Here is a 22788-nt window from a genome sequence, read left to right on the forward strand (position 1 = left end):
GGATCTCCACTATCCTGGCACAGGGCAGCTCTCCAGGTAATGGAAAAAGTTGGATGAGCAAGTTTCTTAACAAATTGCTCTCTCTGATAGGACTGGCTCAAGGCACTGTGCTCAGAGGTGACAGATTTAAGAGAACATGGAGAGAGATGTGAGTGTAACAATGTTCTCGTTAGTTCCAGCAGTGCCAGAATTGCAGTGGTCAGGGGCCAGAATGGCTGCAGATTTCAAATTTTTATTTGTATTTTATTTTATTTTTTACTTCTTAGGAACACCTTTTGTGTTATTAGGGTTTTGCCAAGGTTTACCTTGAAGAGGATCTACTGCCTGGAGACCTTGATCTTGACCTGGAATATGGTGATCGGGAACACGACCTGTGTCGAGAAAAGGACCTTGAACGAGAGCGCATCCTTTGGGGTCTTTGAGAAAATAAGGATTTGGGTGGTGACACAGAATCTCTACATGGAGAGTTAAAAGAAGAACAAGAAGGAGACACATTGAACAATGAATAGGATTGCGTGCCATCCCAAGGGTAGCTCAGTTTATCACTTTCATCTTCGCTGTCATCAAACAGGCCATCCATGGCTAGTCCTGAATTTATAAACATAGGTAGTTTGGAGAATTGTTCATTACTGAAATCACTGTCCCTCAGTTCACCGGTCTTGTCTGCTTCGTCGTCAAAAACAGCTTGACTGGGATGACCGAAGTGCTTGTTCAGCTCGGCTCGGATTTCCTGGTCTTGGAGCTGTTTTCTTGTGCTGCAAGGAGAGACCTGCTTGCTTGCCTCCAAAGTCTCTCTCAGGTAGCACTGGTCTGAATCTGTGGAAGAACAAATCTGCCCCTGCCAATCAGAGGAGACATCTTTATTTTCTAGTTGTCTAGAGTCTTGGAGCTCCTGTGATATATTAATGAGTATTTCTGTTTTGGAATTAATTGACTGGCAATAGTCATGGTCACCAAACAGCCGCAGACTGGGCCGCTTGGTCTTCCTTTCCTCGTGTCCACCAGTGAGGACTGAGGACTTGCTGAGTTGTGCATACAACTCGGATTGCTCCGGCCCTTTCTTGGTGGAGTTATTGCCTTGTGTACCAGAAGACTCACTGTACCTGGGCTTCTTTGATGGTGGTGGCACCACAGTCTTGCAAGAGGACTTCAGCTTTGGAGAAGCCCTAAAAGGGTTATCTTGGTTGGCTTTATGAGGAGGAGTGGTGGGTGGAGTTAGGCCTAAGGCAAAAATTAAAAAAAAAAAAAAAAAGAGAGAGAAAGAAAAGAGACAGAGATAATGTTCTTAAATGCGAAGACACATGTTTCTAATTTTTCCAAGATTTCAGACAAGGGTTCAAACTGAGTGAAGAAGAAGGAAACTAATTTCATGACAAGGCCTGAAAAACTGACTCATCCCCTAAGCCTCTGTCACCAAGAAAAGATGGATCTACAGTGCTGAGCAGGAGGCTGTGATCTTTTGTATTTCAAACACCAATGCTAACAAATCCTGCTTCCCAGAAAACATGAATGCATCACCCCTGGCCTGCACGGAACTAGGCATTATTACCAAAGCTTGCATTTTCAAGGGGATTGTATGGGCTGCTTTATGGAAAATTAACAAAGTGAGACTGAGGAATCACGGAATAGCCTTGGTAGCATTTGTCTGCAAAGAACATTGCAGAGGATGCAAGCAGCTCAGGGGTCTTTGTCCAATCAAGAGAATCTACCCTTGGAGCCAAGGAATTAAGCAACTTAGAAGAAAAAAAAAAAAAAAAGATGGGATGACAGGAAATATGGGGCAATGGTGAGAGTGACATAAGCAACTTCAAAGTAAGTTCAGTGAAATACGACAGCCGAATGCAGGGACCTAGAGCAACTCTACAACTTAACGGCAGTGATTCTTTGTCGCCACAGTTCATTAACCTAGTAAACCATGGCTAATGTAGGTATAATACATTCTTGTAAGCATAACTAATACATTCTGTCTAAAATATGGTTCTGCAACAGAAACCTAAGTGAACAGTAACACTAAATATCACAGTGCCAGCCGACCATTTTATATAGAGCACAACATAAGGGAGGGTTATGAGACTGAGGGATTGAAACTCAGCCAAGCTTCAGCAGCTAACTAATTAAATAAATAAAAAGGAAGAAAGAGGAACAGCCATCAGCTGTTGCTCTTTCTGCTTTTCTATAGGAGGGCAGAACATTTCATCAGAAACCACTGTGGGAGAGTCCGTGAAGCGTAGTAGTTTCCTCTGTTGAGTTTTCCCCCAAGTAAGCCCTACTCATCCGTTTGTGCCGAGGAAGAACCATTGTCAAGTGGCTCCAGAGTCCAAGGAACTTTGAAGAAGGGCAGGCTGGAGTTCAAATGAGTTTACGCTTACAATGGAGCATTTTAGTTTACAATACATTTTCTGTTTAGGAGGCGGGGTGAATACCATTCAGCAAAAAGAACTTCAAGTCTGCTAACAAGCCTGGGGTTAGACTTAAGGCAAGTTGCAAGGAAAAAAATGCTACCTTGCTGGAAAAAAAATAAACACAGACATACACAACACACATATATCGAGAGCCAAGTAGGTCACAGAAAGCCACATGAGATTTTGATATGAACAGGAAGATGCTGCCTCACTCTCCTACTTTATAATTAAGAAATGGAAAGAATGAATGTTTTCTCTAAAGTGAAATATTTTACACCAATATTTGGCAATTTTTATTATTCAAAGCTAATTCTCCCTGAGAGAAGAAAAGGTATACAAATGCAAGGTGGTTTGACTTCGGAGTTCCAACTCAGAAAATCTCAGAAAGACAGAGAAATGCAAACACAAAGTGAATGGGACACTGTACTCCACTCATGGTCACACCTGAGTCTCAAAAAGGCTTCCCTTTGTTAACAGCTGCTCTTGGATGGCTCTTTGCCCTTCTCTTTGCTGTAGCAAAGGAAGTGACTTACATGACTGAATGAAACATCTGTGCCACTGAGGCACACTCAACTCTTGTTTCCTCTCTCATAGATAAGTATGTCTTTTACTCAACCTAATAAATTCCTATTTGGTCAATCTTATCTTTTCTCTCCATTTTCACTTGCTTTATTTACGAATTGCACTGCCTTATTCATGCATACTGATTTCTTCTACATGCTACCTTCAATTACCACTTGCAATTCCCAGCGAGATAAAAAAAAAAGCACATTCTCAAATATTCCTCCTAGGAGCCTAAGATACTTAAAGAAATAATGAGGAATAATCTCTCTTTGCTGAGTAAATACCAATCAAATATGTCCAATGACATAGCCCTTGAATTGGAGGAAATGGCATTCAACATCCTCATATCCAACTCCGTAAATCTTTGCATGATCACCCCAAGCTAGGGTAATTTTTACTTCTTTAGTAATTTACTGTCAGGATCCCTCTATTGATACCAATCACATATTACTATACATTTTTGCTTATCTCTTTTCGAATGTGAATTATGTCTTGTCTTTCCAAATCAGTTATAAGCGCTTTGCAGGATGTTGCTTGGGCACATTTGTTGCATTATTATTTTGTACTAATTTTATTTTTTCTAGATTCTCCTTTAGTCGTGGGTCTCACATTTCAGCAGCCCAAGAATCACTTGGGAAACCGGGTAAACATTTTTAATGAGATGCTTCACAGGCCACATCTGAGAACCCCAGCCCTAGAGTGTCTGCCGCACGCCACTTTGTACTCTCAGGTATACATATCTTGACAGATATTTTAGATTTATAAAAAGAAACCTTAAACTTCAGGAACGCCAAATTAGGCCACTATTAAAGAGCGACTGGTTCTAAAAATAGCTCAGGTATCTAGGGATTTCAAATATAGAAATCCTTCTGAGTCTTGAAAATTTGAAACCCTTGTCCTAGTACCCAAGCTCATTATCGCTTAAATAACTGGTTCTCAAGTTGCTCTGGGGAGTGGCGACACCTTGATTGTACTTTCTTTGGGTTAAAAACAAAGCCTTTTACCTCTGTCACACATTAGACAGCCTGTGGCCATTGAACAGACATTCGTTGAACACCTACTATGTGCTGGATATGACACCAGATACTGCTATTTCAGGGACTCAGCCTCCAGGGACTTCACAATCGATTTTAATAGAAAAGCGCTTCTTTAAAATTTGACATAAGTATATTTTTCTGCATATACACTTAAAATTGATGGAAACACCCAGAGACCATCAAATATGCCCTGTGAGTAAAAATATAAGGGCTGGAAATTTCTGCGGGCACCATTTGTTGAAACAAATAGGTAATATTTGCTTATTGAATGGAAGATATTTCAAGATTAGTGAGTAGATGGAGAGAGAAAAATAATTTGGCTAATTCCCTAAACCCTTCATTGTTTACTGAAACATCTCTAACCGGAGAATATCTCAAAGCAAGATTGAGAAATCTCACGGATGACAAGATTTCCTATCACCAAGTGCCTCCCTAATGGAAAGCCTATCTCCAGATACAGTTGAGACCCAAAGCCAAACAAAACAAAACAAAGGTGCAAGAAGTATGTTTCTTTCTTTGAACATAGTGTTAAACTTTTCAGAGCTGCTGATGAGACAGGCAACCCCTTGCTGCCTCTGAACTAGTTGTTATTTCTCTAGCCTCACCTCCGCTACCCACAACTTTCCCCCCTGAAGTAAGAGGGAGGTCAGTGCTCAATCCCTTGATGCCACTACCTTTGCTCATCTTCCCACTAATCTCTGGACTCTCGATTTCATGCCACAAGCCCAAATCAACAGTGCTAATGCCTCCCATAACCTCTGGATTATTTCCTGCGTGTTGATTTTCTGGGGAATGTGTACATTTTGGTGTTGACAGTACAAGGTATATTCCATGCTCTCTCTTGAACTTAGCAGGTTTTGACAGATTTATGTGAGGACAGATGGCCATTACAGGCTGAAGGCTGACAAGAGGCAGTTCCGAGCATTGTTAACACACTTGCACAAACTCTCAGCAGTGCAGCTCGGTGCAGAATGTAATTCAGACTATAGCTTTTTTATTGCCGCCTATTTTCTTTTGTCAAAAGAGCCTGCTGTGCAGAGCAACAAATGGCTGCTATTACCCAGAATGTAATGGGTGTCAGACAAATCACATAACACAAACAATCAAGAGTATGTAGGTCATATTTCAACAGAGCACAACCTTAGCAATATTTATGATTACTGCATTGAAATGTGCTCCATAATAAACAAGCACCTCTACATCACTCACACTTACGCACTTCTGCACAGCAAATCTGGGAGAAGTGGTACATACTCTACAGTCATCTTTTTAAACAGCCCTTTTATTTAAAAAAAAAAGGCAAAGACAAGTTTTGTTTTGTTTTTCATTATCGCTATGAAACGATTTTCTTGGAGGAGTTTTCTTTTGGGTTTGTTTGTTTAATTGAATGACTCTGATAAATGGTGAGTCCCTGGCTCTGTTTCTTGTGATGTGCTATTCACCAATGGCATCTTTTTTTTTTTTTTTTTTTTTTTTTTTTTGGAGTTTATAACATTTTGCAGAATGTACTGCAAAATCTGCAACTTACTTTCAAGTTTGTTTAACAGTGGGATTTTGCATATGTTGCATGCCAATTCAGGTATTTAAGAAAAAAAAAATTAGGAGATGAGTTTCTAAGTTGCTTAAAAACACACCAAAATAGGAAGACTGAGCAAAGAGAGGTGTGTGACTTGTCCTACTCACATATTTCAGGCCTCATGAATTTGGAGTGGGTGTCAAGAGTGCAGAGGGAAAGCTGATATTCACTGAGTACCAACCGTTACCTCTACAGCAGTTGTTAAAATATTCAGTAGATAAAAGCTGCCCTAGTGTTCTCTCCTTCTGCACCTACTTCCCCAGGACTCACTGGAGCTCCACAAGACCCAGCAACTGAAGTGTTCACACTTGGCACAGAAGACTATCCAACAGACCCTGCTGGTCCTCTGGCTGGCCACAGTCCATTTGGGAGTGGCCTGCCTCCAGTACATTTTAAGTATTTCTCCTATCACCCCTGGTTACTGGGTAACAAACTGGCCTTGGAGAAAAGCTTCAGAACATTCCTATGACATAAGCCTAATTCCCCAACTCTTGCTCATGGAAGATGAAGATATCATTAATTGACCCTTGTGTAAATTCCCCACAGAGCTGGGATAGAGGATGGGTAAGGGGAACCTGGCATTTCAGGTGGCTATTGCCAAACCCCAAAGCTGATGTGGGAGAGAAAATTCCTTTGCTATCCTTGGCTTACAAGAAATAGGATGGTACCATTTCCAGAGAAGAAAAATTAGGAATAAAGGAATTGTCATTATAGACACTGGGTCAAAATGAATGAAATTGAAAATAGAAAATGAAGAATATGGTTGAAATATGGAAGAAATCTCTGACAGTAAGAGTCGCCAAGCATTGGAATGGGCTGTAAAAAGAATTTGTTGGGTCTTCCTTTCTTAGATTCTTGAAGCACAGGAATAGATTATGTGGCCTGTCAAAATCACCTTCCAGTTCTCTGATGCTATGCTTTTCCTTTTAAAACTACCGACAACTACCCATATTTTACTTTGGTCCACTTTCCCAAAGATATGTCACATACACAAGGAGTATGTATGCCAAAAGGCTACAGCCGTTTGTCAATATTTATGCTGTTTGTCAGTACATTTTTCCAGCAAAGTGAACTTTTAAATTGAGAGTCCACAAAGGCAATGTAAAATTCAACATAAAAGTGGTAGTTACAAATTGGTTAATGAGTATTTTGTTGTTGTTTATTTGTGAGTCTACTAAAGTACACTTTGAATGACTGCTGATTAAAGCGTAGAGAAAAAATTAAGTAAAAAATAAATAACATCAAATCACATGTCCCCTCTGATGAAAATAATGTGGAAAAACATATATCAATGGAGAAAAAAATTATGAAGGCCTACTTGTTTTAGGGTGATGACATCTGATTATATTTTTTGCTCTTCTCATTTTATCAGTTATAAAATAGTTCTACTGCTGTTACAATGTTTACAGTAATAACAAATAAAAACTATATATACATATACATAAAATTTTGGGGTCACTTTGGTCCCTACCCAAATTCCTTCGTGTCTGTGGTTTAAACCGTCACCTTGTTGAGCTGACATTGCTTTGCCATTCCCATTTCAGAAACAAAAAAGTGTAGCACTCTGAAAATCTCCATATGCAATAGATTTAAATGCCTTCTGCCAAAAGAGCATTCTCTTTTCTCTCATCTTGCTTTACTAACAGCTATTTTGAAATCAAATTAGTTTTTACACCTGTAAAAGAGAAGAGTTTTTTTATCAGCCAAAATGAGCTAGTTTAGGACAATCACAAAGAAGTCAGACCAGCTGGCAATACCTAATAAAGCAAACTTCCTATCTCATCCCTCCTGTTTCTCAAAGACACTGCAGATGGGGCAGAGGCATTATTCTGGAGGTCTTAGAATTTTGTTGACTCCTTACATTTCCACTTAAACATTTGGAAAATTTCACCAAAATTTGTGAGAGTAAAGAAAAAGAAGACACCAGAAGGCCTGAGCCAAAGCTTGGGTCACTTCTGCTGCTGCAGTCAAACTGATTAAGCCTGTAGACCAAGGATCAACAAACCACCAATATAAATGCTATTTCTACCCTTGCCACCCACCTGCTGCACCTATGGTAGACATCACTAATTGATCATGACATTCCCCATGAGCACAGACTTGGCCTTAGAATCTTTCTCAACACGATGCTCCTGGCAGACAGTACCAATCAATGACACTTGGCAAGTGCAATGAAGCCTATTTAACATAACATATGTCAATTACTATCTTTAAAATTCAGACTTCAGGAAAGAGATATAAGTTCTCTTCAGGCAGACCTGCTTTGAACCCAGGGTCCATTAGATAGCTTGTGTCAACGTATAAATCTTTCCTCAACAATGAAATGGGCAGAAAGTAAGGAAGATACTGTATGTGAAGTACCTATTTAGGGAGTGCCTGATTGCCAGAAATTGTAGTCATAGAAGTAGCTGTTGCTGAGAGAATCTCAAATCAGTGAGTGTTCTGCCTTGATTTGGTAAATTCCATACCTACACCAAAAGCAGTATTTGTTCAATTTGATGTGAAAATAGTAGGGGGTGGGGGAGGCACAGAAAAAGAATAAATAACTTCATATATGAGATTGCCAAAGAGGATACACAGCAAGGGCAATAAAAGGGAAGAGGTGAAACCAGTCAAAAGTTGGAAAGATAAGAAGTAAGGTACAACGACCACTGCAAATGAAGTTAACTCAGAATTAGTAATTAAATATCTAATATTTATTGAGTACTTATATAATAAGGGGGCACTCATATTTTATCTCATTTAATCCTCACACTGACCCAGTGAGATGTAGGTATTGTAACCATCTTCATATCATGCATAAGAATCCTAGTCTTTCAGAGGTTAAGTAAATGGACCAAGGCCACACACTAGATGGGAGGTCATTCAGAATTTAAACTTGGGTTTGCCCAACATCCAAGCCAAGGTTTTGTAAACTTCACCAAGCTATGCCATCTGCTCTTTAAAATCACGATATACTACTTTTAATTGAAGCTTTGCTGCTTATAAACTGTTTTACTTCAGATCGAACCACATAAAATTCCATTTTTGTGTGTCAAAAATGATTGCATACTGGCAATTTTATTTTTCAACCTATATTTTAGTCTTTTGAGTAGACAATTTTATCAGTAGTTATGAATATGACTTTGAAATGGAGGAAACTGAGGTGTACAAGAGATCAAGGATGTAGAAAAGAGTCTTAGCAATCAAAAGATCCAGGAGGGAAAGTGTGTGTGCCATCTTGTTGCTCCTTATTGATTTCACAGTCCTTGCCAAATTCATTGTCATCTGAGCATCCCTTTGGTTTCCTGCTTTCTTGCTTCTGCTCCATCAACATCTTCTCTCCATTCCACCCCTACGCTTCAAAATCTGTGCATTTTTTTTGTTTGTTTGTTTTCCCTGAAGGCTCTCCAAGTCAGGTTAGCCTATGGAGAGCTTAATTTCCTCCACATTCCTTTCCATGAATCACCTCTGTCATTCACTAGGATGATAGTATTGCCTAAATATTTCTGTCAGTCCTTTAACTGCCTTTATCATTTTAAAAAACTCTTTTGGCCAATCAATGTCTTTAAACTTGAACTATGCTGCAGTGTTTTCCCTTTGATAACTCTTTTTCTCCCTTTGTGATTCTTTCTAGGTACAATTAGTGTTTGTCACAATCTTCAAACACTACTAAGCGACCAATTTTGCTGAAGATTTTAAGAGGAGATGACAATTGTAGACATTATATGTTGCACTGCATTTCAAGCCCAGAATATCTCTAGAGAAAAAACAAATCTCCCTCAATCTCCTCTTTATGTTATTCTCCAGGAAGGTTCCAAACTTTACCTTCTAGCCTCATTCAGCATCTTTCAAGTCCTCATCTCCTTGCTTTCCAAAGCTCTAAATCACTTCTGTTACATAAATGCAATTGGGCTTTACTTCAGCTTCCCCAATTTATATCTGTACAGCTATTACAATCACACTCAACAAACTAAAAACTGCTTTCTGGGCCTACCTTTGTTAGAAGGTGGTGGAACATATCCAGTAAATAATATTTGCTTTCATGCTACTTATCAATGTGTCTCAGTACCCCAATAGACTAAACAGTTCATGTGCATTGTACTGGTGATTGAAATTATGTAAGATGGTAAAATCTCCTGTAAATGAATGAAATGTGAGTGTGGAAAAATATTCCTGTAAAAAAAAACTCAAAAAAGGTCATTGCTAAAAGAAGTGTTATCAAATTAGTTGTGGATGGGTGGAATTGGAAAATATTTGAAAAATTATAAAAATCTAGAAGAATTCAGACTACCATACCAATGTCTCTAATCTTTTCCTTCAAGGAGCAAGCAATAAAAAGTGGCTACCATCTATAATATGTATTATATAATAATATATTAGTGTGGTTTATACAAGAAAGATGAATCAATAGACCCCCAAATAGTAAAAAATAAGCTTAAGGTAAAGATCTCCATCTTCTACCAAAACTGTAATATTTGAATGTATATTTTTGTGTTTTAAGCAAAGGTAAAATAAAACAGTATAAGCTTGAATCAACTTTTTTAATAAACCCACCAATTGCTGGTCCTCACTGGTCAGATAAGAAGGCCTCTACTGCATATCATATATACACACAAAAGCTACTCCTAAACATATATGTAAGTTATAATGTATTTAAGAAATAGTGTTATGTATTTAAGAAATGATGTTAAGTATATGCTTATAAGTAAAGATTTGTGTCTATGTGTGCATGCCTATAAAAATATGTATATATGTACATATGTGTGAGTCTGCACACACATACACTATATATCTACACCATGAAATTAACTACTCTACTGCTTGACCAAGTCATGCAATCATGCATTAGACCTTTCATAAGAAGGTAATTTAGCAAACACAAAGTGTGAAATTAAACTAGCAACAATGACCACGGTGCAGGTAGGCACCATAGTTCTGGTTCAAAGCATCTTGTTTAATGTACTGTTCCTTTAACCTTATCAGCAATGGCCAGAGCCAAGGAATTTCTTGTTTAGACATCCCACGACTCACTTTTTGGTGGGGTTCAAGTACCTAAACTTAAAGCACTTAGTGCAAGGGCACCATTTGCAACCAACTCAGAAGTTTGCCTAAGAGCTCTTCAGTTAGTCTAAGTTTTTTAAGCGCTTCAATATTTTTTATTAGTTTTTTTTTTTTAAATAAACAACTGGAAATATTTGCAGATAACTTCTTATCCAATTTTGTATTCTTTGTTAATTTCATTAACCACATAGACAGTACACTCTGTTATCTTATTACACACACACACATATACAGACAGACACACACAAGTTCTAAGTGAAATATAAGGCTTACCTGCAGTTCCAGAGAGTTCCACACTTAAGGTGCGTTCAATAGTCTTGTTCTCAAATGGGGAACCCTTGGGGTCACTGGAAGATATGGCACATTTATAAAAACAAACTGAAATGGAGTTGCTGTAGCCAAATGTATTAGAACCCCCTTCCCTTTCAGAAAATGGTTACATTTCTTAATACTTACTTTGGTGACTCTGGGGTCAGAGGAAGAGATAAAGTTGTTGGTTTGGCTAAAGAAAAAAAAAAGAAACTAATTATGTAATATTGAGTGTCTTTTAGATTTCTTTTCTCTCCACAACAGTCAAGTTGGAAAAACAACCAGAAAACTCAAAGACTAAACTAAGGAATTCTCTGAATATTGAATCAAAGTCAGACAAAAGTCCATTATGCTAAAACAAATTCCAAACAGCGTTTGCATCAGTAAACTACCATTCGAAAACACATATGAAAATAGAATTTTTCCAAAAATGAACCCTCCCTGTTACAGATACAAAATTTGCATCATACCATCAGAGAGAAATAATGTTTTCTATTTTAATTTGGAATACAGTACACGGTTTGTTTAGACAAGAAAACAGCAGAGCAACTATAAGGCGACAGAACATTATGAATATTCAGTTGATTTTACTCCTAAAACGTATAATTTTATATCTAGCCCTGATAATAGTTATTTCTATGAGGCCAAAGCTCATGCAGTAACTATTCCACTCACTGAAAATTAATTGAGAGATGATGGCAAATTGTGGGCATTGATCCAGATGGTTTAGAAGGGGTTCAGATCCCCAAATCTGATAGACAACTAAAGTAAAACACCATGTTAATCAGTTGAAAGGTGTGTAGACTTGCAAAGAGGCTAACTACTGCCTTTTGTGCTTTTCTGAATCTTACCTCCTACAGGAGGCATTTCCCAATAATGAAGGGTGGATTAAGAATCTTCTCACCCAAAATTTCAATTGCTTCTCTGTGGCAATCTTGTATTTTGAACAGAAGGAGGGGAAAATATGATGAGAGGCATACTTGGGCTATACATTCATGTATTATGTATATCTATGCTTATCTATAAGCATATGTTTATGTGTATGTAGGTTTATGTCAATTTTTTCTCATTAAAATAATTACTTTCAAAAGGTCAAGTGGTAGTTATTTATGTAATGAAAATCATAGTGTCAAAACCAAAAAGGTCTTTAGAATAAAGTTTCTTATCTTATGGTTGAAGAAACTGAGACCCAATGATACTAAGTGATATTTTCAGGGCCATAAAATAGTTACTCACAGAGTTGGCCAAGATTCTGTTTCCTTTATCCTATTGTCAAAAGAAATTGCATTCAACGACTTTAAAGTAAATTAATCAACCCCAGCAATCAATTTTTTTGAAATGTGAAAATATTATTCATGTCCAAATTAACCTGAAATTAGACACTTTACTTGGATAAATAGTATTTGCATATTTATAGATTTAGATCTACACAGTTGAATGGTATATCATACATCCAGAAATATGAAGCTCATATCTTCAACAAATTAGATACATTGATTCAGTTTTTCATTTACACAGATAAATGAGCTGATTTTACATTAATTTTTGAGTATGTCTAATATAACAAGTTTTTCAAAAAGAATCCATTTATGAAGAAACTTTACCAAGTTTTATGATACTCAACTAATAATTAGGATAATTCATACAACTTCCATAGAAAATATAACCAGATATTAGCTATATGCTATGTGACACAATAAATGTACATTGAAAATCAGTCACTGAAATTCTGGTTTTCAAGAGGTAGGGTAGGCTATTTGAAATGCTCAAAGGAAGACTCTCGAATTCTGATTGTTGGGTACAGGTAAGGTCAAAGTCAATGAAAGGAGAGGAGATGGCAACAGTCATAGTTAATGAGACCAAAGGCAAACAGGAAATGAGAGCCATAAGAAGGGGACAGTCCCCAAACCACATACAGAATCCGATCCCTGAATAAACCCAGACTCTCTAATTCCACCATTAGAGGAGTATTGATTTGGTTTATTGAGAGTTTAATCCACCCTGTTCCAGTGACTGGTAGACCAGAGACTAGTAGGATCCTTAAAGTCAGGAATGTGTCTTTTTCATGTAGATTGTGGTATTTGGGTGAATGCATGAATAAATGAACAAATAAATGAGACATCAACACACAACCATGGCTAGACAATCATCCTAAGGAAAAGAACCTGACTCCAAAACGTTTTATGGAGATCATACGTGATGTTCAGTGAGAAAAAAATTACAACACCTTAAGAAAGGTAATTTCAATCGATCCTCCTAGTTATCTCTAATTGTTCATGTATTTTCCGCATTTTGATTTTGAATAATAATTCAAATAATCACTGAAGTTGAGCATTTATTAGTTCTTACTTGTCAGCCATGTTTCATTTCTTTTAAGCCTTTCATAACTAAAGAATTTTGTCTGTTTGTCAACAGGTTTTGTTCTGGGGTGAGCGTTTTGTACCTTGCCACAGATATATACCAAATACAGCCAGTCTCATCTAAAGAAAATTTCCTCCAAAGGCCTATTTAATTCTTCATTGTCATGATTTGTAAAAGTTTACTAAAAGAAAAAAAAAACAACTTTAAAACCTGTGCTGCCGGGCTGGGTCACATATTACAAGGACTTTAAATTTGGCCCCAGAAAATGCATGCATGACCAGCACAGGGTGAGGAGTAGCCCGGTGAATTCATTTGTTCACTCACTAGAGCGAGCTCATCTGCTTCCCCTCACCTGAGGCCTTCATGACCAACAAGGCCTATGGCAGAGTGGTTCTACTCCAGGAAAAACTGTTCTAGTGCTTATGAGGAAGATCCAGCTGGAGCAATGAGAATGCGGTCCATTTCACTAATTATATTTTCCCAAACTGACAGAAAGTGATGGGCAGTGGATTTGAGATATCTACCAGGGAAAACCTAATGGAAAGCCATTTTAAAATATTACAGGAAGGCTTCTGAAAATCCTGGGCTAATACTGAGGTAGTGAAGAGGGAAGAAAATTCAGAACACTGGGGAAAAAAAGCGTATTGAATCAGCAGCAATAACAGCATACCTACACGAATTAATCATGGTTCAAAGCAGAAATCACTGGCTCCCACTCTGCAGTTAAAAGGAAAAGTTGGGAAAATGAAAGTGAAAAAAAAAAAGAGGTATATGTTTATAATTGGTGTGTTATAATATGCCTACTTCCACCACAAGGTTAAAGTAGAAGCTGGCATGTTTTAAATCAACTGCCCATTTCAAGGGGTCTTTGGGCTTCTAAGACCACGACATTTTGAGAAGGAGGAGCCTAAAAGATAGAAAATTGTATCTCTGCCAAGAGAGGTTTTCCCCAAATCACCAGGATCTGCCTCAGAACCATCAGCCTTCTCCAGCAATATATGGTGATAATAAAAATCAACCCAGATGTTTAGTTTAATCTAGGCACTTTCTTAAATAGAAAGAAAACAATCAGGATTTTTCAAATCTTTATTTACAGAATAAAATCTGTGAGCATAGCATGTGGTTGTAGAAAAGGAGGAGAAGGGGAAGAAGGAGTGGAAGAGGAAGAAGAAGAGGAAGGGGAGAAAGCAGGAGGTGAAGGAGGAGAAGGAGAAAGAAGGAGAGGGAGAAAGAAGAAGAAAGAACAAGAAGAATTAGAAAAGGAATGTACTTAGTAATCAAGAGAGGCTGCATAAACACTATTTACTACTTCTTAAGGTGTATATAACAAATCACTGGTGCCTCATTTTTTCCATTACTGGAAGGGAAAAAATAAAAGCTCTATAATGAATTGGTTAGCCCAGCTTGTTCATAACCTCAATTATCTCAGCTATTCTGAGATTCATATAAACATCATGTGATGTTGCAATTCCTCACCACCTGGCTAACATTTCAGGAGTCTTTTGGTGCTTGTGAATTAGACTGCCTATCAGCTGAATAGAATATGTTTAACCTGTGTCCAAGGAAAGGTTTCTTCCCCCGCTCTGTAATAAGTGCTGAATTCTCTTTCCACAGAGTGACGCTGATGGGACGGAAGCAAGAAGTTGGTGTGTTCTCAGACTTTGCATGTGCTTTCTTTGCTTCCAGTGCCCTCACCAACAGCTCGTTTTGGTCCCCAGCCTACCTTGTAAGTGTTGTGACTGCGACTGTGTGTGGGACTTCTTTTTGGAGGTGCATTTGTCTCTGCTGCTGTTTCTGTTCTCTGTGGGTTTGGTGTGAGGAGGGTCATCGTTTGTGGTCAGATATTTGAGAAGCTCCGAGCAGGGACGTCTTTGTGGCTTTTGCTGTTGACAAATACTCTTCGCTTTATTGCTCCATGAATTCTCAGTCTTAAAAACAAGGCATAAAGAAAGCTAAAATTAGTGAACTGAACCTTATCAGAATGGATATAGGTTTTCTGGAGAGATGGGATTTTTCAATGAAGTGTTCAGTCTAAGTGTACTAGATCTATGAGCTGTGAATAACTGTTTGCAGAACAAGGAAAGAAAATTACATTTAAAATTCCTAAATGACATTTATGCAGCTTTTTATTTTATTTCTCCTACATTTCAATGTTCCTACTCAGCAACATGTAACTAACAAGACCCTACAGCGCCTTTATTGTGAATAAAAAAAATCGGCTGGCTTAAACCTTAATTTGCCACTGATTGCTGACGCCCAGTACTCACAACTCTCTTAAGTACCCCTTAATGCTCCGTTTTCACTCACAGTGAATAGCAAGACAAACATTGTTTAATACAGCCCACTAGCTGAATTATGGCATTGCCAGCATTCCATCCAATTAATGGCAGAGATAGATGTTTTGTGGTGATTCCAAAAGCAATCTTTCTCAGGTTAGACAGCTAGCAAAACAGCAATTCTGCATCTTAAAGCCACTCATAGATAATACCAGCTTATCAGCAAATTTTACCGTGGCCCACAATGCTGCAGGTAACAATAAAGTGGGCAAGAACTAACAGACAGTGGCACTTCCATTCCAAACACCCAAAGACGATGCGTAAATGAACTCTGCCTAGTTTAAAGTAGCTCAAGCGCTGTTTACGGAATCCCATTCATAATCTATTTCATCATTATGAGGCAGCTTCGGGGTCCCAGCTGAATTAATACCTACAAACTTATTTGTTTTACTGCTTCAAGCCAAAATCCTTTGGTACATCCCCCCTGTATTAAAAAATTTACATTTGTACCTTAACAATTGCAGGGTTTGTTCTGATCCTGTGATTGTGATTTGCATGGTTCTGGGTACTGAGACCACTGCATTCATTATAACTTAGCTGAGTGTTGGCTGGTGCCAGTAAGAGCTTCTTAAGCTAGAAACATTATCAGGGAAAGGGAAAAGCAAGTAAAGTTATGCATCTTTTAAGCATTGGAATAAGTTATTGAAATTTTAAATGTAATTTATTATAATTATAAAAGTTAATTCTATCATTTTATTTATGTCACACCTTAGCGCAATAGTGCTACAGGAAATATGATATTTAAAGAGTAGAAAAAAGTTTGGCATTACACTACCAACTATGAAAATATTTCCTTTCCTTCCAATTCAATTTCTAGAATCGTATGCATAAGAACAAAAATGCAAATGTGCCAATTATTATACAAGAAATAATAGTGAAAAGTAGAAGGAAAATCTCAAAATTTCCAGCCATAAGGGATTACTGCATAAATTGGACTTGGTGTTGTCTACATATTTTTTTTGAACAAATAAAGCAAAAAACATCTTTCTAAAATAATTTCCAAATCACTACTAGGTGAGAAAAGCTGCCTTGCTAAATGAAGACATGGGAGTGGAGTGTGGGGGGTGGGGGAGAATAGATACACATTTTCTTTCTAAAAATCCAAATAAGTCAAGTGGCAACAAATGAAAGATTTTGTGATGCTTTGAACCGTGTTTCATAACCTGGTGTATGAAATTACTGATTCAAAGAATGTTTGGATAAAAGAATGACTATCACTGATTTTAGAAAAGAAAAAAAGGATTTGTAAGTAGAGTCCTGGCCTGTGGATCAGGAGATGTGGGTTCTGACACAGGCAAAGTATTTGCTGTCTCCTGACCTCTGTTTCTTCATTTCACTGGATGACCCTCAAGGACTTCCCTGTTCTGACATACAGTATGTCTCTGAGTCAACTGCTCTTCCCAAATGAACAAATTGAATAGATGAAAACAATCTGATATCAATGGAAAGAAATCAGGGTACTAGGGAGCAAAGCCAATGACACTAACAAATGGAGAAATTGGAGAATAAATAACAATTACTTATGAGATATTCTCCATATGAGAAACCTCAAAATCCAATGGACTCAAAGTAGGGCCTCCATATATTTGCATAGAGTATTTTTAACATTCAAAAACTTAGTGATAGGAGAGTAACAACCTCTAAATGGCATGCCAAACACGATATTAGAGTCTGGAGGATCATGGCATCCCATAATTTACACAGCATGTCCTTATGTCTGATTTTTAGCAAATGACAAATGGCTATCATAGATGAGAAGGTAAACTGTGTCTTAGAACTAATAAAACTCTGGTCAAGCACTGCATTGAACAGAAAATTCTCTCTTCATTTCCAACAAATTCAGTCTTCATTGTCTACCATAAATTTAAGTAACTTGGGTGGCAAACGTGCTATAGTTTTTCAATCTTCATAAGAAATATGGATCCAAAGTCTTAAAACATTGCACATTCGTTGATCTACCAATTCTTTCTAGGATTGTATGTATAAGAATAAAAATGCTAATATGTTAATTATTATACAATTTGAAATAGTGAAAAATAGAAGAAAAAACTAAATATCCACCCATAAAAGATTGCAAAATAAATTAGAATATTTCCATACAATAAAATACTATGCAACCATTAAAAATTATGCATGTATTTAAATTTGAACCCATATGCTCATGATATATCTTGAAAGGATATTGCAATCATTTTTATATGAGAGGTTATTTGAAATCACAGGTGAAATTTTTAGTCTTTTCCTTTTAGTTGCCAACATTTTCTAAGTTTTCATCATGAACATAAATAACACTAAGATAGAAAAATACACACACATAACAGCAAAAGATAGTAAAAAAAACTGCAATAAGACTACACGAAGACGTGTATTATCAACACTTTTAAACAGAGAATCACACAATTTGCAACTCTGAGTGTGCTTGGGGATTGCTTTGGCATCATTCTAAATGAAAAAATCCAAACCTTATTGTGACTACATCATACCCATGCAGCGGGTAGCCAGAGGCAACTCCAATTCCTGCTAAACAGTAGGAAGGGTTCTTACTAGAGACGGCTCTTCTGCCTCCTGGGGTGGAGGGGTGCCGTCAGGCATGGAGGAAGGACTAGCCTCATTGTCAGTGGTCACGTCTCCATCTGTCAGCGCATCAAATGAGGGCAATCCGTCTTCATCCACAGGGAGACTGTCTAGTGTCTCTGTGAGGACTGCTAGCAAGTTTGCCTCATTCTCTTCATCTATCTTCTGCAGAAAGAGAAAAAAACAGAAGATGTGAGTTGACCCTGGGAGGCAGGTAACACTATGCATCAACATGTTTGACCAAATGAGTGAACCATACGTGAAATCTAGAATGCCCATTCCAGAACACAAAGATCATGTCTTTCTCAAACTCCAAATTCATGTTTTGGTCCAAATGACACAATTAATGAATACCTCTACTCTACTAATCTCTGATGGTTGAGCTGCCTAATTTATCGATTTGTTATGTCAGTGCTAAAACTGCTGTATGCAATTCTTCTTGGTTACAGAAGTGTTTTCCACTTGCTCATGTTTTCTTTCTTTCCCTGAGTAAAAGAAAAGATTTAGAGAATCTTGGACCTTGAGAGAATTTTAACCATCAATTTCATTTTCAGATATAGTGTTTGAATCTCCTATACAGCATACCCCCCAAACTGTCTAGACAGCTCTTTATTTGAACAACACCAGAAAGTGGAACTATACTGAAAGCAACTATACACTTTCATGGTTTCAATTATAATCTCATCACTGAACACTCCAAAATCATTTATTTATTTTGCTCCCTGACATCTCTCCCAACTTTAGTCATAAATCTCGAACTGCCTACTGGACACTTCTACTTCATAATAGCTCCCTCATCCCCAAAACCCAAACTCTATACCTTTCACAACAAAACTGCTATTTCTTTTGACTTCTTTAGTTTGGGTAACAATTCTTCATACCCAAACTCTGGACGTATTTTTACTCTTCTTTCTGTGATCAGTCACTGAATAAAGTCTTACTTTGTAATGTTTGTTAAATGCACTTATTTCTTGTGGCTGGGGTACTATTCCAGTGCACTATTATTTCTTTTTCTTTTTCTTTTTCTTTTTTTTTTTTTTTGAGACAGGGTCTTGCTCTATCGCCCAGACTGGAGTGCAGTGGCGCGATCTCGGCTCACTGCAAGCTCCGCCTCCTGGGTTCAAGCCATTCTCCTGCCTCAGCCTCCCGAGTAGCTGGGACTACAGGTGTCCGCCACCACGCCCGGCTAATTTTTTTGTATTTTTAGTGAAGATGGGGTTTCACCATGTTAGCCAGGATGGTCTCGATCTCCTGACCTCGTGATCCACCCACCTCGGCCTCCCAAAGTGCTGGGATTACCGGCGTGAGCTACTGCGCCCGGCCCCAGTGCACTATTATTTCTAATAGTGGCTCCTGCAAATATATTCTACCTTGTTTTTGATTCATTCCCACCAACACACTCATAGAAAGCTAATCTTCAATCATTCACTTAACAAACATTTTTGAACATCTACTCTGTGCCAGGGACATCTGAAGTGTGGGAGATACAAAAAGAAACAAGACAAAATCTGTCCCTCTAATAACACTACTGTGGAAGGGAAGAACCTGTAAACAATTCATTATAAAATATAATATTTATTTCAGTACTCTGTAAAAAATGTTCAAGGACTTCCAAACATGTACCTTGTTAACAAGGCAGTGTGTGATATTCTATGCACGTGGACAACCAGTACCAACACTGGGCACATGGCATAGCTAATCAATGATTACTTGCTAAATAATTCATTGATCTGCATTTATTGCCAACAATATCTTCTGGACCATTTTCTTTTCCTTCTTTTAGCACTTCACATTGTTTGTTCAATCTGACCTGCTTCCAAAATCTTCTTTTGAAAGTTCTGTATGCTATGACATTAACAATATGGGCTAAATTATCCCACACAGATTTTATTATAAAATGCACCTAGCTGCTGACATCTAATGAAGCTAGCAGTACCCACACTTCCTTTCTCTCTAGCACTGAACTCCAGTTAATTGACCTGACAAAATTACAAGAATCACAGAATAAGATAGCTAATCAGAAAATCAAATTGTATTACTAGAGAAATTAGGCAGGCCTTTATCACGTATACATTCTATTTTCACATAAAAATTGTTTTCCTTAATTCCTGATCACCCTCCATCCAGCAGTAAAACTAAGGACTTCTTTTGGATTCAAGAGGCCAAAAAGAGCCATTTGTACTCCCCAGGGACTTTAATTGACGTTTTTTAATTTGCATAATGCATCCCTCTCACGTCCCTGGATTTGAGTTTGGGTGCAACATGGTGTGTCTGAAGTTTAAAACTTTAATGCACTTGCAGGGCACGGTGGCTCATGCCTGTAATCCTAGCACTTTGGGAGGCCAAGGCAGGAAGATCACTTGAGGCCAAGAGTTCAAGGCCAGCCTGGCCAATGTGGTGAAACCTCGTCTCTATTAAAAATATAAAAATTGGCTGGGCACGGTGGTTCACGCCTATAATCCCAGCACTTTGGTAGGTTGAGGCAGGCGGATCACTTGGTCAGGAGATCAAGACCATCCTGGCTAACATGGTGAAACCCTGTCTCTACTAAAAATACAAAAAAATTAGCCAGGCGTGGTGGCGGACGCCTGTAGTCCCAGCTACACGGGAGGCTGAGGCAGGAGAATGGTGTGAACCCGGGGGGTGGAGCTTGCAGTGAGTCAAGATCTTGCCACTGCACTCCAGCCTGGGCGACACAGCGAGACTCTGTCTCAAAAAAAACATATATATATACACACACACATATATATAAATTAGCTGGGTGTGGTAGCACATACCTGTAATCTCAGCTACTCAGGAGGCTGAGGCAAGAAAATTGCTTGAACCCAGGAGGCTGAGGTTGCAGTGAGCCAAGATCACGCCACTGCACTCCAGTATGGGTGACAGAGGGAGACTCTGTCTCAAAAAAAAAAAACAACCAAACCTCTAGTTTAGGAGGCAAATCCTAATCAGAAGGGGTAACTGTTAACTTCAAAATGGTGCCACCTACTTCCATAAACTGACCAATTGTAAAAATCCAAATTGCACAAGTCAATAACTGAAGCTTATTGAATACCCTCAGGCCCTCAGGTAGATTCTTCAATCTACCTTCTTTCAATATGCCTTTGAAAGGACCCTGTATATGTAATTCTAATATTAAATAGGCTGAAATGATATTCCTTATTTTCTGCCCAGGATCATAATCTGGTATCCAAAGATTTCAATAACTCCCTTCTTTGATTCCCCCACATACAAAAATTAAATTGAGGTTATTTAACTGTTCTGAATACAATTATATTTAAATGAAATACATGTATTTAAAAAATCATCTCAAAGTCATGAGATTTACACCATTATAACTATCTCCATATTATCTAATAATTTTAGAAAATACATCAAATACACATGCACACACAGACACATATACACACTTTCAGTAAATTGGGCATTTTTCCAAGTATTCCGTTTTTCAAAAAGGCTTATTTCATTGATGTTCAAAAACAGTTCAAGAAAAAGAGTTAAGAATATTTACCAATAAATGGATAATTTTGTTTACTATGATGTAAATTTTGTGTTTGGCTTTCCAGCAATACTACAAGCCGTTATTTGCTTTCAATCACATAATACAATGGCGCCTTAGCTCTATCCCTAGTGTAAACAAACTATGATAATTCCAATCAAGTTAAAACGACAAAGAACACTTAAATCAACCAGTTTTCTCCAATTTCTTTAATAAGTCTGGGAGAATGTATAACAAATACAATGGCAAAAATATTGGAGCTTGATAATGTCATAATTAATTTATAAGATCTGATTAAACCACCAACTATTTTAATTCCCCTCTCTACTGGAAACACAATGAGAGGGAGGATTTGTAAGATGGGAGATTAGCATGGCGGCTTGTGTGTGTGTGTGTGTGTGTGTGTGTGTGTGTGTGTGTGTTGGAGTATGTGGGTAGTAAGGGCTACTATTCAACCAGTATCTACCATAGGGCTGTAATGATTATTTACGGTCTGTATCCATTACAAATGATTATTCGATATTATTGTTATCTCTGTATGTGGGTGACTCACAGAGGTGCTCCAAGACCATTTATTTTAGTAAATTTTTTAGTGAATTAAGGAAGGAAAAAGTTATTGTTTCAAATTGTCTGTGTTTTCTTTAATCATAGAAAACTGGGAAGAAAACTTGCTATTTGCTGATGACACTTTGTGTTTATATAATGTTGAGTGGATATTGCCCCTCACTGTGGCAATTTCAATTAGTTTAGCATGAGTTTCAACAATCAAACACCCCGGAGAAGGCAATGGATGTGACAAAGAGGACTCTGTTAAACAATTAATGTCACTTCCCATTATTGCTTTGGTCCCAATTTACAGAGCAAATAAATCAAAGTCACCGCAGATGAAGCACACTGGCCTACTCACACATGTCTGTTCACAGGTGACAGGGTATAGAAACACATTAGTCACTGCACTGACATTGCAAGATAACCTTTCAAAGACTCGGCTCTGATACTGCTTTCTAATTGTTTGAAAATACTATTTTACAAAAAATATATGTCTTAGCTCCATCCGAGTTGGGGAAAAAAGAAAAGAAAATGCAGA

At 37.8% G+C, this 22788-nt stretch overlaps 1 protein-coding gene across 28 annotated transcripts in view; it reads right to left on the minus strand.

Moving 5' to 3' along the window:
- The window catches only part of PPARGC1A (PPARG coactivator 1 alpha), a 680885-nt gene that overhangs the window by 21364 nt on the left and 636733 nt on the right, over window positions 1-22788 (minus strand). For 21 of the 28 annotated variants that reach the window (NM_001354827.2, NM_001354825.2, NM_001330752.2 and 18 more), the window contains 6 exons: window positions 18173-18367; window positions 16079-16201; window positions 15016-15220; window positions 11079-11124; window positions 10896-10969; window positions 306-1221 (listed from right to left, as the gene is read on the minus strand). In NM_001354827.2, the coding sequence (NP_001341756.1) occupies window positions 306-1221; window positions 10896-10969; window positions 11079-11124; window positions 15016-15220; window positions 16079-16201; window positions 18173-18367 (1559 nt within the window). Of the gene's footprint in view, window positions 1-305; window positions 1222-7050; window positions 7255-10895; window positions 11001-11078; window positions 11125-15015; window positions 15221-16078; window positions 16202-18090; window positions 18368-22788 lie in introns of all 28 variants that reach the window. The other 7 variants (NR_148982.2, NR_148983.2, NR_148985.2 and 4 more) reach the window with 4 other exon arrangements.

Source organism: Homo sapiens, chromosome 4 (assembly GCF_000001405.40).
Source record: "Homo sapiens chromosome 4, GRCh38.p14 Primary Assembly".
In the NCBI taxonomy this organism is placed as follows: Eukaryota; Metazoa; Chordata; class Mammalia; order Primates; family Hominidae; genus Homo; species Homo sapiens.